The 19,452-nt window shown below is 36.2% G+C and overlaps 1 annotated feature.

Annotated features, from left to right (window-relative positions):
* Nucleotides 4,896–5,065: an enhancer, noted in NCBI's record as "experimental_49625 CRE fragment used in MPRA reporter constructs". NCBI's record gives its function as "activates a minimal promoter by MPRAs in K562 erythroleukemia cells, with activity observed for both the introgressed and non-introgressed 18:68910002 variant alleles {active_cell/tissue: K562}" and the evidence as "EXISTENCE:reporter gene assay evidence [ECO:0000049][PMID:34662402]".

Below are 19,452 nucleotides of genomic sequence, written 5' to 3' on the forward strand. Positions count from 1 at the left end.
ATCATCCCTGTGGTTAAGGCTTTTGGGTGATGAATGAATCAGACTTTTATATGCCTGGGTAGTTAGGCTGTTTTTGTTAAATGATTCATTAAACTCTGTAAATCCAGAAAGAAGAGCAAGTTAGAGGCAGTACAGTATTTCATGCATGCTTGTTAAGCTCTTTCTTCACATAATGAGCAGAGTTTCAAAACTTTTGACTACACTGCCGCTAGCAATGAAATACTTTCCTGAGATAAGTGTGGAGCATCTTCCTATTTTGAGAAGATATTTGCTGTGGATAGAGAAAATGGGCAAGAGCCAAGTTACCACACGTGCTCCATTGTCTCCAATGAATTTGTGTTGAGCATCAAAAATTATTTCTTATCCTATTTTGACAACTTTACTGTTTCCTTTAACTCATCAAGTTGTAATTCATTATGACAAAAAGTTCAGCTCTTTAAAACATGTTTGCAAGAAACCTTAATGAAGTATGATTTCTACTTATTAAAAAGAGAAAGTGCAAACACAGTTCTTAAATGTGCATGTATATTTGTGTGTGCTTCTGCTTTACATTAATCCCTGTGAAGTATAGGATTAAGTTTACCATAGAAGTTACATTTTGAAAATAATGTTTTTATGTCATACTTTAACATAAATTTAGATAATACAGTAAAATGCAGGAACTAACAAATCATAGCATTACAAAATATAATTGAATTTGACTGGCTGTTGGTGAATTGGAATTTCATAGATGACTTTACCACTAATTTAATCTATGGTCTTAGCAATATTAAGTAAAAATATGTCTGAATTTTTCTGTTAACAAGAAAGGCAAATTATACACTAACATATTATAGGGATATTTCCATAGGTAATTTATTTCTTTTTATCAATTCACTGCAGTCTTCATTAAATCTTTAATAAAATTACATCTTCATGTATGTTTTTCATATTTATTACAATGGCCCTACTTTATTCTTTAAAGAGATGTACATTATCTGCTACTATGGCCTATGAAATTAAAGCACATCAGAGAATAGAAAATATGTTCTTACATTGGAAGACTTTATGTTAGTTGCTGTAGTGAATTTCTATGATTTTTATATCGCCTTGTCCTTTATTTTGAATATAGTTCTAACCTTTTCAGACCAGAAGCAGGTCTCAGTTACCTGTGACACAGTTTCCAGTTCTCTGCCACACCCAAATGGCTCAAGCTGGTGGCCAGAGTAAAGAACTTAGGGTATCTCTCCTGCCTAGCAGGCGGGGGCTCCCACTTTCCCACTGCCTCCTTTAAAGGGACCATTCAGGCATTTCCCCATGAACTTAAAGTGACCCACACCCTATTGCTTTACGTATACACTGCTGGTTGCCACGCGTATTCTTTTTCTCTGCCTGCCTCTTCATTCTTGCATGAATGACTTGTTACTGCTCTCCTAACTCATTACACTCTCCTTTCCCAGAATCTGAAAGTAATAAATCCTTGAGCTCATTTTCTGCTGTAGTGGTGGGTTGATTTTGCACCTTCCATCCGAAGAAAAAGGGACTTCCCTAGCTGTGGAGAACACAAGGTCAGGCTCCTGGCACCAGAGGGAGAGCCAGGCAGGCATAAACTGCACACGGGTCAGACAAGAGCGATAAGGGCATCTGCTGGTATAATCACCTTCTGGTCGTGGTTGTGAGTCACCTTCTGGTCGTGGGTGAGACAACCAGACATTAGGCCATCCACCAGGTAATAGAGCTGTGAAAGGCACGCTGTGAACACGTGGATCCACCTCCCCTTCATTTCCTAGTGGGTCAGGGCTGCTGGTGGATGTGGTACTGAAACCCCAGTTTAGCTTGGGGCTCTCAAAATAGTTGCATTACTGGGAACTCCTCTTTACAATATGAACATTTAAGCTTTCTGTATTAGGTCTTAAATAGAAGTGAAAATATTTGATTTATATATAATTATTTAATTTCCATAATTCACCTTCTGAATTGAGATATTCTGCACTGATGTAGGAACTTGTGGCTAATGTTAGAAAACCTGTTAATATTGTAATGATGTAGGAATAAAAAAACTATAATTGATTCTAAATTTAAAATATGAAATTTAAAGAAGGCTTTATGCCTTTTGCTTCCCACTTACAGAAATAAAATTTTAAAATATCTGAATGAGAGATGTAATCATTAGTCAATTTTCAGTATGTTATTCTATGTAAGCAACCTAGAAATATTTCTGATTTCTTTTATAGTAATAATATTTGAAGTTTCTTCAGTTGCCAAGTATTTTATAATTGAGATCTCTCTCTCCTCTCAACCCTGAAAACCTCTAACATTTTCTATGGGAAATTTCTATGTTTTACCTTTACAATGTCTGGGGAAGAAGTTGGGATTCTCTTCACCTTTTTGTTAATGGTTAAAGATGTCAACATAATTTTTATTTGTCATATTTAAAGCCTTTTTAAATACATATTGACACTACAGGTGATTGTCTAATTGCCGGCAGGCAGCTGTTCTGATGTCCAAAGCATTAGATTAGGGGTCAGGACACCTGATTCTCATTATGTGTAATACTATACACCTGTGTCCAGGACCAAATTGCTACTATTCTCTGGGGATTATTTACCTCATCTGTAAAGAGAAGAGTTTGGAAATAATTGATTATATCCTTTCTACTCCAAGATTGCATAATTTCTTCTAAGGAATACTACTCATAAGTATGACTATTGCTTCCTATAAAGGAATTCTATTAGGAAAAAATTAGTGATTTTTTAAAAAGCACATGTTACTTGCCAGATGCCCATGGAATTTGCCACATATTTCATATGTTGAGGCAAATTCTCTTAAAAGTGTAAGCTCTGAGACTTAATTACAGAAGGACAAAAAGAATAACGTGGATCAATTTCACATAAAAATTCAAAAACCAAAAATTTGAGGTCATGAAAAATAGGAAGGTGAATATGAGCAAAGCCATTTCTACCCATTGAAACTGTAAAATCAATAATATATGAACCATGGAGGTTTCCATTAAACTGGTATGCAGATAAATCATATCCATCCACAAATGGTTTCAAAACATGGAATTCTGGCATCAAAAAACAATCTGATTATTTTAATCTCTCTCTAATGTTTTCTTTTATTACTTTTCCATGCTTATGTTTTAAATGCCTGCTTTTATCTGAACAATGAAATTAGGGCTAGATTACTTATATTTGCTTATTTAGATAGTGAAAATGAGTCAAAAGTGTATTACTATTAGAGAACAAATATTACTCTATTATTATTTACAAAAGCAGGTGAATCTAAAATTACCTTAAATTAAAAAAAAACATTAAAACAATAAACAAAGCAAGAGAAGCCTTTAATAGATTTCTGTGCAAAACACACTGATTCAGTTCTTAATACCATGTGGTTGCCAGCTATGTAGGGAAACTCAGACATGTATAAAGACTGATTCTAGCCTACTGCTTCCTCTCCTCCCACCCACACCACCCAAAAAGTAGAGGCGATCTAATTTTTAACAAATTCCATATGTAGTATCTGCATATATAAATCAGAAGGCTTGAGGCTCTTGAGTATTAGGCAGCTGTTCTAAGGGGTACACATTGATCTTCTAAATCCTTCCACATAACCTCTAATTCCTATAGGCCACAGACACTTCTCCTGCTTCTTCATTGAATGCTGGGCTTTCCCGTATCTCTTGACAGCACCGATGTTTTCGACAGTCTATTTTTTTCTCTGTTTTGTGATCATTTGTCTCTACTGGTCCCTGAAGGCTGCTTTGCTCCATCTTGACTTCTCAAGGCAGAGTCAACATGGATGAGTTTTTTGCATATACACCAATGGATAACTCTTTGAGTAGAATGAGCCCACAGGATTACTAATCATAATGTAACCAACGCTCACTTTGCAGAATTGTTTTCAGGACCGAAAGTAAGCTTTACATGCTTCTGTGATGTGGAGGTATGTTCTCTGAGCTTGAGCTTTATCTTTTGGGATTTTGAAAAACTTGTTTAGAGAGGCAACATAGTTTGTGAAACGGTGCCCTTCTGTACTCCTTGAGTACCCTGGACCTGGGCCTCCACAAGTGTCATAATTCTTTTGTAACTCTTCTGCTTTAGGATACATTGTTTGACCTGGTGGCATAAAACAATAAAGTAAATGTAGCAATGGCAAGGCTGTGTCTTTCTTGTTTAGATTACTGAATGTACCATAGATGCTCATTAAATATGTGAATGAATGCATATGAGCATGTACGTATATGATGTACCATCACTCGTCTCTCTTTCCACAACTCTAGCTATAATCGAATTTCTAAAGCCATACCTTTCTAGCTCCAGGATTGCCTTAGGAAATCTGTGGCCTAGGAGTTTTAGTGCTTTGCACTTAGATCAAGAGGGAGTTAGAGTCCATATGTAATAAAACCTTCTATCCACCTACATCTGATTACAGGCAACTTCTGATAGCAAGCATTGATTAATCATAGTTTGTAATTGAAACCACACACCAGGTCACTAAAATTCAAAATTATAATCAAAGCTTCTTAATAAACCAAAGCTAAGTAAAAGTCATAAAAATTGTCAGAGGATAATTCTGTCTAGGTTGTATTCCCTACTTTTGTATATAGGGTCTTCTTTTTCAAATCTTCCTGAAAAGCATGTCTCTAATTATTAAGGAAGCATGTAACCACCAGGACTTCCCATTTCATATATGAACAATCTGAACTTGTTAGGGAAAATTTTCTTTAAAGTAATCACAAAGATTAAGGTTTTTAGGACAGAATCTTTATGACATTCTGAATTCAGCCCATCACCTGGAAATACATGCACATGCTCTTTATAAACACATGTGCCCATACACAAACACACTTATAAACCTATCACACCTTAACATGTGACCCAATGTAATACAACCTTAAGAAATTTTTATTTAAGTTCTATAAAGCTAGGTGGGATATTTAAGTAGAAGTAAAAAATAGTATTGAATTCTAGATGCTGTTATTCAGAATATGAGTCCAGATAACCATTTATCTTTAATGAGTCTCCTCTTATCAGAAAATAATGAGACTTTTTAGAGCATTATGAAAAATCTTCACCTGTAATTTTAGGATGGAAGGTCCTTCAAATACCAAAAAAGTGCATTCAGAAAGGTGGGCTTAATTCTTCCCCTCTGCATTTTTTTTCTAATAAAGTTAAAATACCCTTGAAATCTAGCAAAGTGTTGAGCCATGTTATATAAGAAGGATCCAGGTACATCTAACAGGTAACATTGATTGCTCTCTTACGCAGTGCTAAGAATTTCTGTTAGCATGTGTTATCTGCCTTCTGTCGTTTAGGCAACTCAGGCATGGTGAGTTTAAGTGACTTAAACTCACCACTTGCTTAAACTCACCACTAGTTAAGTGCGAGTTCAGGTCAAACCCAGGCAGCGTTACTGGAATGCTGACCTCATATGGCAGCAATCTGACTGGTGATTGCACTGAGAGACAATGCACATGGCATAAGAACAGCTCCTTTACGCTCCTCTTGATGAAGAAGAACAGGTGGAATACTTCATATACTTTAGATATTGATGTCACTATAAGCAGCTTTGACTTTGAGTTCAGAAAGCAATTGATGGGAATGCAGGCTTCTAGAAGTATAGCTGTCACACAGATTTAGGGTCTGAAAGCAGTTTTCTGGTTTACCTTTTGGCACACAAACCTTCTCTGGTAAGGGACTGAACTTAATTGGAGTCTAAGATCCGGTAGAGAGAGCCATATTGATACTTATATGAATTCTAGAGTTTTGGTGAAAAAAAATCAAAGGTAAGTAAGTGCAAAATAAATTGTTTTGCAGGCATAAATATTCAAACATATAAATATATGTCAGGTATAAATATACATATTAATATGTGAATATATTATATATAAATATAGTCAGATATAAATATTTAATCATCATAGATTTAGACCGAAGGAGGACAACATAAAGAACATTACTCATTTCTTTGAGTTGCTGGGTATAGCTCAATGATGGTGGATCTTGGGTACCAGAAAAAAATGTTGTTAAATGGGGGCACTTGAGTGGGGGCATGTCTGGGTCGTGCAGTCCAGGCTCTGTAACTGAACAAGGCTTATGAAAGTGTCCCATATGTCACTCTCTGATAATATGAGATTAGAGAAACCTAACTGGTATTCTTAAACTGTGGGGCTTTGACTACACTTGCCCAGTGGTCATGATTTGAGGCTGAAATTCAGTTCTAGAATAAAAGCAGTTCTCAATGTAAGATTTGCAGAGAGCTAGGGCTGCTTGAGACCTTTTTAAGGTATTCTGGAAGTAAAACCTATTTTCATAGTAATAATAATAATATTAAACTGTTAAGCTTTTCAGAAACTACATGACAAGTGATGTTGCAACAAATTGAATGCAGAGGCATATGTGAGAATCCAGCTGATGTTAAAGGATTTACCAAAATGTAAAATAATGACACACTCCACAATATGTATTTCTAAAAAATGTGGCTATGCAAAAAATGTTATTTATATTAACACATACTGATTTATTATTTTAAATTAATTAATCAATTTAAAGTGTCTTAATTTCTAATATGGTAAATATTGATAGTTATAACCCACATAAGAAAAAACTCTGTAGGGAGGGTTCTCAATAATTTTTAAGAGTACAAAGTGGCCCTGATGCCTAAAATCTTGAGAATACTGAAATTTGAGAAGAGATCAGACCAAGTGTTTTTGCAGTAGTTCTTTGCTGTTTTTGTTTTATTTGTCTTTAGCCCTTTGTTGTGTTATTACTTCAGTATGTGGAAGCAACTTAAAAGTTGAGTGGCAGAAAGGACAACAGGAGATAATAAGAGTAAATCCTTTTCAGTACTTTTTGATATTTAGCAAAGGATACCTTTGGCTGTAATGGCAATAAGAGTGAAGTGATAATTGAACTTAGCAATGAATTTTCCTTCCAGAGAAAGGAAAAGGTAAATAATTTATCTACATATAAATAAGGTATTTTAGAAAATTTCTCTCTATAACTGTTAGATGTAAATAAACAAAATGACAACTTATAAAACACATATAACTTTCAAATCATAGCACCAGTTGTTTTTCAAGGTCCCAGAAAAATGACTGTAGTAAAATGAAGCATATTGTTTGCAGGTAGGCATTAATTATATCATTAGTTAACCAAATACAGAATACAGGACACCCTACATACATATCAACTGAAGCTAATACTAGGTAAGAAAGACCTTTAATGAGATTTAAATGAAAATTAGTTTTGATGAAAGAATTACATATGTAAACATAGGTAAATATTAATAAAACTTTGAGATTAGCCAATGTCTTACAAATTTGAACAATATGGCTATTTGCAATTTTTCCTATTCCTGCATGTCTGAAATCTTAGAGTTTTTATTTTATGTATATAAAACTTATCCTAAAATTCTCCTGGTAGCGTGTTTGACACTTTACATTTTGTGTTTGAGCATAACACTGCCTCAACTTGTTAATACTTCTTTTGTCATTTATTTTACCAGAAGCATTTCACTTTCTTGAACTCTCCTCTCCACAATATCACTGAATACTAAATTGATTATAGTTTTAGCAATAATTTAATATGTAATTGTTGTAAACAAGAAGCATGGCTTATACCATTTCGTGGTTGTATTTATGTGGTTGAGTATTTCATTTTCCAAATCATGGTGACTATTAAGATGATGCCAGAAGTAAAAAATCACTATGGTTTGCAAGAGGTGGACAGTGGGGTTTATATCACCTGAATTGCAATGAAAATATATACATATTTTATAGCTCAAATATTTAGTATGAATGATAAACTTTTCTGAAATTCTTTTTTGTTATGTTGAATCTTACCTTAGTTTAGAAATAAATAGCATTATCCAACTATTAATTAGAAAAAATATTTCCCAAACAAACATAACCATAGTTATCTCCAAAAATAATTTAGAAAATGTATGCAGCATTTTAACTCCTTTTACTTTGACATCTGGGAGTAATGCAAAAGAGCATATTGTCAAATCAGGCTTGAAAGAATAAGATATCGTACTTAGAATTGAGCTCTACTAATAATTTCCACTATTCAGGTAATGAAAAGGGGCACAGTGAAGTTGAAAGAGGCCCAAATCTATCAGCACAGTTCTTCAACTACTCCTCATTTCAAATCTTTGCCCTACATATTGCATATAAGTTTTTTCATGTCTGAAGTCTCCAAATAATGCATGCAGTCACTTTGCTTACACAGAAAGCAAATATTATATTATGAATTAGCACCATTTATAGTTACAAAGTCTAGTTGATATTTTTTGGATGGCTCATTTAATCTCATGAATGGGAGCTATCCCTCATAAATCCATAATTTTCAGGTTTCTTTACTATGAGCAGCTTAGACAGCCCAGGTACATCCTGTGAATCGTGTTCCATCAATAAGGACTCTCCCACAGCAAATACCATTGACTCACTGCCCAATAGTCTGTTATTAGTATATCTACAAGAGATTAAACTGTGATAACTTAATTTTTTTCTTTTCCAGAGTTACTATTTTGGTAAAATGAGAGAGTGTTTATTATTATTATTATTATTATTATTATTATTATTATTATTATTATTTGAGACAGCATCTTGCTCTGTCACACACGCTGGAGTGCAGTGGCATGATCATAGCCCATGGCAACCTTGACCTCCTGGGCTCAAGCAATCCTTCACCTCAGCCTCTTAAGTAACTGGGACCAGAGGCACATGCCATTACGCCTGGCTAATTTTTAAATTATTTGTGTAGACAGTCTCCCTGTGTTTCCCAGACTGAAGAGAGTATATTTTAACTTGTTACTAACCATCTCTTTCCTACTTCTTCTAATTCTTAAATTGCTTAAGTTTTGATCAAATAATATTTAAATAGTCATATAGTGTTATTGTGATTATTAGAAAGTCATACCCCAGATGTTTCCAAACTTCTCAAATGTGATACACATTTTTTATCTGAGTAATAAATATTTGAGGCTGGATGCGGTGGCTCACGCCTGTAATCCCAGCACTTTGGAAGGCCAAGGTGGATGGATCACCTGAAGTCAGGAGTTCGAGACCAGCCTGGCCAACATGGTGAAACCCTGTCTCTACTGCAAATACAAAAATTAGTTGGACATGGTGACACGCACCTGTAATTCCAGCTACTCGGGAGGCTGAGGTGGGAGAATCACTTGAACCAGGGAGGCAGAGGTTGCAGTGAGCCGAGCTCATACCGTTGCTCTCCAGCCTGGGTGACAGAGCCAGACTCTGTCTTAAAAAAAAAAAAAAAAAAAAAAAAAAAAAAAAAAAAAAAACTTAAAAAAATGTTCTTATTTACTTGATTGTGACAAGATTTTGGAATTTTAGATGTAAAAGGTAAGAAAATTAAAGCTTAGAGACCTTAAGCAATTTTCCAAGGTTTCACGTATATTTAGTACGAATGCTTCTTTCACATATAAATCACAAGTCAGTATTTTATTCTCTCTACTATCATATACTTTGGTAAATCTTATTTGTAAAGTTAATTTTGACCTTATTTTCCATTATTTATTTCCTTCCATTGAGTTGTGATATTACTAGATATTTTATTTTTTTCACAGTGATGTACGTGCCATTTTGTATGAAAAGTAAATTCATTGGCACAGGAAATTAAAGAGAAAGCTGAACTTAAATGAGCATATAAGATCATCACAAAAAAATGATGCTATAAAACAACATTTTCATAATTGCACTTTGCCTAAATTTAGATTCAGATAGCTGTAAAATCTAATCTGAAATAATTCTGATATCTTTAATATAATTTATCATAAAGTACTGAGTGTTATTTTGTAGAAAAAATATTTTTTATAGATGAATAAGAATTGTGTGAGAGGATATAAATGTTGAATTACCTTTATTGACATGACTGATGGCAAAATTTATCACTGAGTCCTTAGAAATATTTGCCAATCCACTTCTTTTATAATTGGGAATATTTATAAATAGATTAGGACATTGACAAATTACATGAACATCCATTGGTAAGAATAAACAAACAAGATAAAAGAGATGAAAGTTTATATTTATAATTGAAATTTTTATGTTTATGTCTGTCACACCATTCCTATCAAAGTGGTTGCTCATTATACCACAGAGAGAGAATAACTTTTATGTCTGAAATCCTGCTTATAAAGATTTTGAGCAAAGCATTTTGTGAAGATATCAAGAGCAATTATCAAAATAGATACTGAAATTATTGTGACTGCAATGTGCCACTCACAGATGCTGACCATTTATTGCTTTTTATAGTGGAATGCAGTTTTTTAGAGTGAAAATAGAGATTGAAGATTTTATTCATTCAACGTGAAACATTTTTAAATTAACATCATAAAATTTATTGTTTGTTATTTAACCAGATCAAGATGAAAACACATTCAAACATCTTTCTTTTTCATTCTCAAAAACATTCTTTCTTAACACTTACAATATCTTAAACGTTTAAAGGGGATTGGACATGATCTCTGAGAGCTCTCTGAGGTGAAAGCTCTCTGAGAAAGACCTTTAAATTTTCACTGTATCTTTGCTTTTTAAACTATCATGGTAATATTTTAAAGAAAAGTTCTAGGCCAGCCATTTCTGCCTGGCTTTCCAAAATAGAGAAAAAATAGAGAAATCCAGGTAGAGATATAGGGCAGTATGTGTAAATTCTTAGGCTTTGTCCATTGTGATAACATTGCTTCACAGTCCAATGAAGCCTGTACCATTTGCATCCAAAATCATACATGCAAATACTGCATGTGTTTCCACTGAAGAAGCTGACCTCAGTTTTCTGTTAGTCCTTTAACTATATACACTAAGCAATAGTTTGTCTGGCTGCCCATCTATATTGCCCTTAGGAATATCATAGTCTATTGGCCATCACCATATATTCCTGTAAGGATCTGATCATTCCAGACTGACTGCCATTACAAATGTGTCACCCTCTGTGGTAATTACACCCACCTTGTCTCTGCTTGTCTGGTATCTATTCATCCTACTGGCAATATAGAAACCATCATTTTTTTTCCATCAGCTTCAACCATTGGAAAAAGACAATCTACTGAGTTAGTAACAATGCCAGTTGCCTCTCACAAGCATATTTCTTAGACAAGCTCACAAGGGCCAGAGGAATTGAGACATTTAGGATTCTGTCCAAATATCTCTATTTCTAGCTTCAGTGTAGACATGGGACATTTGCTGAGCCTGAAAATGTTGCCTTCTCTGAAATTTGATCACTCATATCATTGAGTTCTGTGCCTGCTTTCTGCTATATCAGTTCTCCAGCTGCAGGTGACGAGGGTCCTTAAATGCAGTCATGGAACCCTTTAAGCTTGTTTCAAGGTAATAATAAACTGGCTTGAATCTACTCTTTATAATGCATCAGCGGCATTCAGCAACAACCACCACCCAGTTTCATAGTCCTTATAGTTACTAGTTACTCATACCTCTCAAATGTCAAAGATACCACACATGTGAGTGCATCACCTTCAACACGTATTATGCCCCAATTCACCCAGTGTAGACCTTCTTCTGCTGGATGGAGCCAGGTAGGATGTGATACGCCAACGTTCAACTAAGTTGCCAAATCCATATAGAACAGCTGCACCACAACCCGAACCAAGGGAGATGAAAGCTGTCCCTCAGCCGTTGAGCCTGCTGAAGTGCTTCTTCCTCAACATAGAACTGTCCAGGGTGGGTGCAGTATCTAACTCAAATGCCATGGCCTCCAATTGTTCTCGTCTAGCTCTGCAGATTTTGTGGAACAAATGCCTCTCTGTTTGCCATAAGCTCTTTGGTCAATTTCCAGGAAGAATTGACCTGGAGGATTCTCTTTGCTAAGTTTGACCAATTAAATCGATTTCTCTGGAAGAGAGGTTTCCTTGAGCTCCTCATACCACCATTCTGCAAGTCCTGCCTGCCCAGGTCAGCGTTGATCCTTTTTTATGAACTTTGTGTGTCCATCATCCCTGCCAAGCTCCTGTGTGTTTTACTGCTACTTGCACCTGCAACCTTCTTCAGGGGATAATTTCTGGCCACCAGAGCCCCCTTACTCATATGGAGAAGTCACAAGTGCCTAGGACTTTATGTTGTTTCTCTACTCCTGAGGAAGCCTGTAGCCAATAATTACTTATTTGGAGTGCAAACATGGTGCTCATCTGTCTTAACATAGAGCAAACTCAGGGGCATAATTTACATTCCAGAGCTCTCCACAGCATCAGGCAGATTTGGCTTCTCCTGCTTCCCTATCCTGTTTCTTATTCCCTTGCCACTACTTCCTGGGAGCATTTCCTTAATAAATCACTTGCACTTGAATTCTTGGCTCAAAATCTGCCACTGTGGGAACCTGAATTAAGACAAATATTTTTATAACATCCCCATGACTTTGCAAGAGTAGCACCTCACAGAAAGCAGTGAATCCATAAAAGAAATGGGCTGAGACAGAAAAAGGACAGGATTCAGTATTAGAGTCTTAATAAAGAATTTCTCTTCAGGAGGTAATAAACAGCAAGGTAACAGAAATTTATTAAATGAGTCAACTAACTGTATCAAGTTTGGGCAGCAGGAAATTCATTGTTGTGGAACAATGAAATGACATCTTGCATTGTACATGATTTAAAAAGAGAACGGAGATAGGGCAGGGCTACACATACTGTGTTCAGTTCATTCTGGTTTATGTTCCTGGTCAACAAGTGACAACAATGGAATTCAGACAAGTTGTATTTCATGAACCTTCCCTAGAACTTTAGGAGAGTTATCTCAGTTATAAAGACTTGTCAGTTCCAGGAACATGGTAGCAGAGCAAGTCTCTGGATATTTAACTAACAATAAAAAAGGGAGAAAATTTTCCCTTCACTTCTATAAATGCTTATTTGTTTTCCTTGTTAGTGTACCAATTTAGTAGACTTTATCAATTAAAATTGATCCTTCTGTATGTATGTGTGTGTATCATTCTAATGGAGGATTCTGCAAAAATACATATGACATTTATAACAAAAAATTGTTATGAAAAAGGGCTTGATGTATACATATGTAATAAACCTGCACGTTGTGCACATGTACCCTAAAACTTAAAGTATAATATAAAATTAAAACAAACAAAAAAAGAAAAAGGGCTTGAAAGGAATGCTAACGTATTTTCAGGATTTAAGTGGGGAAGGGGCTTGGGCAGGACAATAGCCCATGGATAGAATACAAATAAATGGCATAACGGATATTTTTACCCATGGGGAGAAGGTGGGGGAGGAAGGTGAAGATAGGTCATCATAAGAAAGATTACAGGCCAGGCACAGTGGCTTATGCCTGTAATCCCAGCACTTTGGGAAGCTGAGCTGGGTGGATCACGAGGTCAGAAATTCAAGACCAGCCTGGACAACATGGTGAAATGCCGTCTCTACTAAAAATACAAAAAAGTTAGCCAGATGTGATGGTGCACGTCTGTAATCCCAGCTACCTGGGAAGCTGAGGCGGGAGAATCGCTTGAACCTGCGAGGCGGAGGTTGCAGTGAGCAGTGAGCCAAGATTGTGCCATTGCACTCCAGCCTGGTGACATAGTGAGGCTTTGTCAAAAAGAAAAAAAAAATACAGAGCTTTTATGTTTTGTTGATTTTTTAAAAGTAATAAGCTTAGCAGAAGTTATCCTTTCATCCACAAAAGCCTGGGAAGTACATACAGTACTCACCATTGTAACACTGAAGAGAAATAATAAGCCAGTCTGGAATATTCATGACCAGTTGCAACAAGAGCATTTTTCCAGTTGGACAGTAGAAAAGGGACGTAGTACTGTCTTATTTTGAAGTGTTCACAAGTTGGATGTTAACTGTGAGTCTGTCCTTGATGGCAAACTAATTTAAGAGCATAAATGTTGGGTAATTTTATATGAAGCAATATGTAAGTCTCTAATGCTAAAACACCATCTCAGATTCCAATAACAATGTTTCATTCTTGCCTTTCTCCAGGTTATTGAGTTTCCCCAGGTATTGAGAAGATAACTTATAAGACACCCCAGGATTAAATTAATAAATTTAATTAACATAATGCATCATTAACTCCCTTGTTAGTATGAGAAACTGGCATATTTCTCTCCTGTTATTACCAAGTTCCTGAATTTGTGTGGGTTTGACCTAGTTTACAGTTGCTTAGTATTTGAGAATCATGGCATTTTTGCTTCCACGTTGCCCTGCTAACTTTTGCGGCACTCATGCTACAATACCCTGGGGATTTCTCGCTTATCCCTGGACCACAATACCAGGCAGTGGCGGTCTCAGCAATTAGTTGGCTTGCCTTTCTCACTCAGAAAACTGTGGTTCATCCACCAATCAATCACTAGGGGAAGTGAACACATTTCTTACCACCTGCAGCCATATCCTTTTCTATCCTCTTTTCTTGAAGTCTTTTCTTTTTTCCCTAGTGTCTCATACCCTATTTTTTTTCAATCCAAGCAGAGTATTCTTCCCACCTTCTGTGGAAACATTTTCTCTTCATCTAACCTATAGGATTGCCTCTGTTTGCATCTTCCAGAATACATCATTAGTTCTTCATTCTTTACTCCAAGGTTATAGAGGAAAGTGACAACGTGGCTTTAATTAACATGTTGCACCAGTTAGCTGGAGCAACACTGGAAGAGCAGTAAATGATACGGATATGGTTTAGCTCTGTGTCCCCATCTAAATCTCATGTTGAATTATAATTCCCAGTGTTGGAGGAGGCGCCTGGTGGGAGGTGATTGAATCATGGGGGGCGGACTTCCTCCTGGCTCATGATAAGAGTTCTCACGAGATCTGGCTGCTTGAAAAGTGTGTGGCACTTCCCCCTTCTTTCTCTCTGTCTCCTGCTCCCACTATGTAAGACATGCTGGCTTCCCCTTTGCCTTCTGCCATGATTGTAAATTTCCTGAGGCCTCCTCAGCCACGCTTCCTGCACAGCCTGCAGAACTGTGAGTCACTTAAGTCTCTTGTCTTTATTACTTACCCAGTCTCAGGTAGTTCTTTATAGCAGTGTGAGAATGGACTAATACAGATACCATGTTTGATGATGGCAAAAGGGAAGGCGCTATGCAAGCCAGACAAAGCCCTGCCCATGAGCTCACTCTGACTTAGTGTTATGTACATTTCCTAATAAACATAGTTTGTCATTAATCCGCCACATCACTATAACTATGAACAGTAGTTATAGTGGTATTTTATGTTTAGAATATATATATATGCTTGTGTATGTATATTTATGATTCAAGTCACTGACTTGGAGTCTCTATACATTTTAATCAGAAATATATAATCAGTAATTTTCCGTTATCTTTATTTCATTGTAATGTATGAGTAAGTATTCTCATCACATCTTGATAAAAGTAGGTATATAACTGGATGGGCCCAAAAAGCAATTGTAATAAAGTTGCATGAAATTTCTTTATATGAAATTTAGTGGCCAGATTTTGGCAATGGTTTCTCTATTGTCACATTTAAAACTTTTTCAACAAATCTCATTATCCTTAAGCAGATGACACCATTGACGTTTTTAAAAAAAAATTCCAAAAAATGTGAATTTTGTAAAATCATTCCATCCTGGTTCTTCCCTGTCACTGGCCATTTTTAGTCCTTTCTCCCTCTCTATCCTGTTATTCTGATTCGATGTTAAATTTTTATGTTCTTCAGCTTTCTCTATTCTTGGCTTTTTTCTCCAGATATTCTTTCAGTTGAAGTGCCTTTTCCACTGGTTGTGCAAAGAGAGAAATTACTGGCTGAAGTAACTGAAGAGTCCCGGGGTGGCTTAGCTTCACTGCGGTACCAAAATGTGTTACCAAGATCCACTTCGGCTCTCTGCAGGGCTGACTCTGCTCTCCTGCTCTGCGTGGAGGCTTCATTTTTACACAAAATACGCCAGCAAGTGGGCAAGAGCAGAGCCAAACTGCAAGTTTCTGGATGCAAACCTCGGGGAAAGCCCAAGGTTCCCTCTCTGTGAAGCTCCAGTGGTATTTGACTGATAAGAGTCATTCTAATTACTGTCTAGAGGATCCTAAGAATCAGTGGAGTGTGCTAACTAGCCTAGGTCGGCATTTGGCACTGACATTTTGGATAGGACAATTTCTTGTGCAATAATGTCTGGGCCTTTGGTGGTGCTTAACATCCCTCAATCTAGGGAAATAAATACCTGTAACATCCCCCTGAGAATGGAGAACTATTGGGTGAGACCCATCAGGGGCCCTTAAATTAATAATTCTGAATTGGGTAGAATCCATCTGAATCAATGCTGTGGGCTCTGAATACAGGAGGATAGATTTCTGTTAGGAAATGTATGTACTATTTAAGGAAAAAGGTGTGAATTGTGGCTGCAGTGAATGGATGTCGATTATAGTGTTTTTCAATTTCTATACCCTCTTCTCAGGTATTATCATCCTTAAGACTCTAACGCTCAATGGTCAGCTAACAGCAGGATTCATCTGCTGAGATCTAAGCCAATGTGTGCAAATAACCTCGTCTGGTACTGGAGCCCCCCTGGGGTCTAGTCTTGAGCTTATCATTTCCCCTTCATCCTGAGTTTGTTCTTCCACATTATCTCACTTTCCATTGCTTATTCCATCGTTCAGCACATACTGTATCCTCTGCCACGTCACATTGATTATGTCTCCTACATATTGTTATAACCCATCCTTTCCATTCAAATATTTTTGTAATGCCTTGAGTTATCAAAAGAGAGTAAGTGTATTATTGCAGAAATGATTTATCTAACTCATTCTATCATCTCCCTACTTGTCCAATACATAACTGCCAGAATATTCTTTCAGATATTAAATATTGTTATTTCAGTGCATTGCTATTATTCAGTGATTTCTGATCCTTTGTAAGAGAGATGGAACTACGACTGTTCAATTATAGTTGAACAATTCTATGGCCTGTGGATTAAGTCTGCCCTACTGTCTGTTTTTTGTAAATAAAGTTTTATTGGAAGGCACTCACGCACATTCATTTACACATCGTCTATGACAGCTTTCATGCTGCAAGAGTTGAGTAGTTATCTTTTATAGATTAAATATTTTGACAGTTGCCCCATAGAATAAAATCCTGGTCTTTTAGAGTGCCATGCCCTCTAACATTTTGCTTCTATTATCACATCCTCAGCCATCCATATCTTGAAAACCATCTTACTATACTTTTAAATACCAGATGTGATTGGTTCATGGAACACAGCATGCTATTTCACTAGTTCTTTCCTTAATCCCTGCTGTCTTCTTCATTTGATCTAATTTCAGATCTTATCCAAATACAATTACACTTTATTCAAAACATTCATCTCAGACGTAGCTTCTTCAGAAAGTCTTCTGTGATTCCAGGTAGATAAAATATTAATAATTTCATTTTTGTTTTACTTCTCTACATTAAACTTTATTCGATTATTACAATTATGTTTTTTGTTTATAAATTCATTTTTTGCAATACCCTGTGAAACTTAAAAATAGATATTATGCATCATTAATATTGTTATCCCAAATCTCCAAAACATTCTTCTTTATATGGTAGAATCATAATAAATATTTGGCAAGTGCATAACTGAATCATTTTTAATTCTAAATTGGGGATACCAGATAAACATTATCCATGCAATGGGCTTAACATAGCCTAATTTTGTTTGTGTACATCTCATTGTACACTGTGTTACCTGTGGAGTTTCTATGATGCATGCTGTTAATAGAAACTAATGTAGCTGTAATATTAGTAAAGTTAGCTACCACTTAGTATGAAGAATTAAGTTTGATTTAGATATATAACATGATGATGTTGAGGAGTTACTCTCATAGGTGGATACACATTCTCTTAGAAAGCCAGTACTGTTAGAGATAGGTTTGGTTGAAATGCTGTTAGGATTTTTCTAGCAGTTTCCTTAGCAATGCAAATACTGTCTATTGTAATTTACTAAAATAACAGCTAATGCTCATGGTTCATTATTACAATGCTGATAATACCACTCTCTAACATTGTGACTTGTTTTTTCGAAGGATGATATGATAGAAATCGTAGAATATGATTTCTATGATTGCTTTAATAATAAAATACAAATTCTATAGTGTTTGAGTAACTCTTTGGCAGTCCCTGCCTCTGACTCCCCAACTTCTCATCGCTACATCCTGGGATATACAAGGTTCAGTGTCGCTCACTTTATTGAGCTTTTATTGATAAAGGCAGGAATGGTTTTGCCTTTATCTATGATCTAAAAAATCAACAAAGATTGATAATACTGATGTATTGTACCTCACCTCCACCATCTTGGTTAGATTATAATCAGTTTACTCATGCAGATAGCAGGAAGTTTTGTACTCTTGGAGATTGCACCTGGGAAGAATGACATCGTGGCTGCTTATGTTGCCCTTAACTCAGCTCTCCTCTTCCTCTGCCCACTCCCTTGGTCCAATGAATACAGATGCCTTTCTGACATGTCCGCTATCCCATGTTTATTACTCTTGTGTAGTTTGGCTTGAAGACTAGAGACCTGGCCCCATTCCCATCCTGTTTCCTTGGGGCTCTGTCATCCTTCTTAGAACAGGAGCACTTCTGTTTTCCAGTCCTTGTTTGGCAGACTGACTCCTGTGCAGATATCTGTAGAATGTGTCAACATTAACATTCCACAAAAGTATGCCTTGTCCTGTCATTGAACCTTCATTTTTAAAATATTGCTTAAATCATCATGAAACTTGTTAGATCAGTTAACAACATGCATATCTGAATAGCTTACCTCTCTTACTCTAATGGTATAGGCTAATCCATTCCCCAAATTGAGTTTGTAACATTTCAAGTTGGATCACAGTGTCTTCCTATTGAACTCTTCTGGAGTATGTTATGATACGCTTAAACCTAAGCTTGAGTATTGTCAAAAAATATGTGAGTACTGCATGGAAATGGAGGGAAATGAAAAAGATGAGTAATATCCAGTTTTTCTCAGAAAATATTTTCATCTTAATAGAAAAGGCAGTTTGGCCAGGCATGGTGGCTCATGCCTGTAATCCCAGCACTTTGGGAGGCCGAGGCAGGCTGGTCACCTGAGGTCAGGAGTTTGAGACCAGCCTGGCCAACATGATGAAACCCCATCTCTACTAATAATCCAAAAAAAAAAAAAAAGCCAGGCATGGTGGCACATGCCTGTAATCCCACCTACTAGGGAGGCTGAGGCAGGAGAAACTCTTGAACCAGGAGGCGGACGTTGCAGTGAGCCAATATAGTGCCATTTGCACTCCAGCCTGGGCGACAAGAGTGAAACTCTGTCTCAAAAACAAAACAAAACAGAAAAGACAGTTAAAGGAAACGATTATATGCATTCTGTAGTGAACAGAATTGAGTGCTGAATAGAACTGTATGTGAAATACAGCATGAGTTTATACAAAAAAGTAATTACTTGTTACTAATGGGATCTAGGGAAATTTATCCTAGGCATGTGGCTTGAAATTCAGAGTGAAAATAATTATATATACATATAAT

Source organism: Homo sapiens, chromosome 18 (genome assembly GCF_000001405.40).
Source record: "Homo sapiens chromosome 18, GRCh38.p14 Primary Assembly".
NCBI classification, from domain to species: domain Eukaryota; kingdom Metazoa; phylum Chordata; class Mammalia; order Primates; family Hominidae; genus Homo; species Homo sapiens.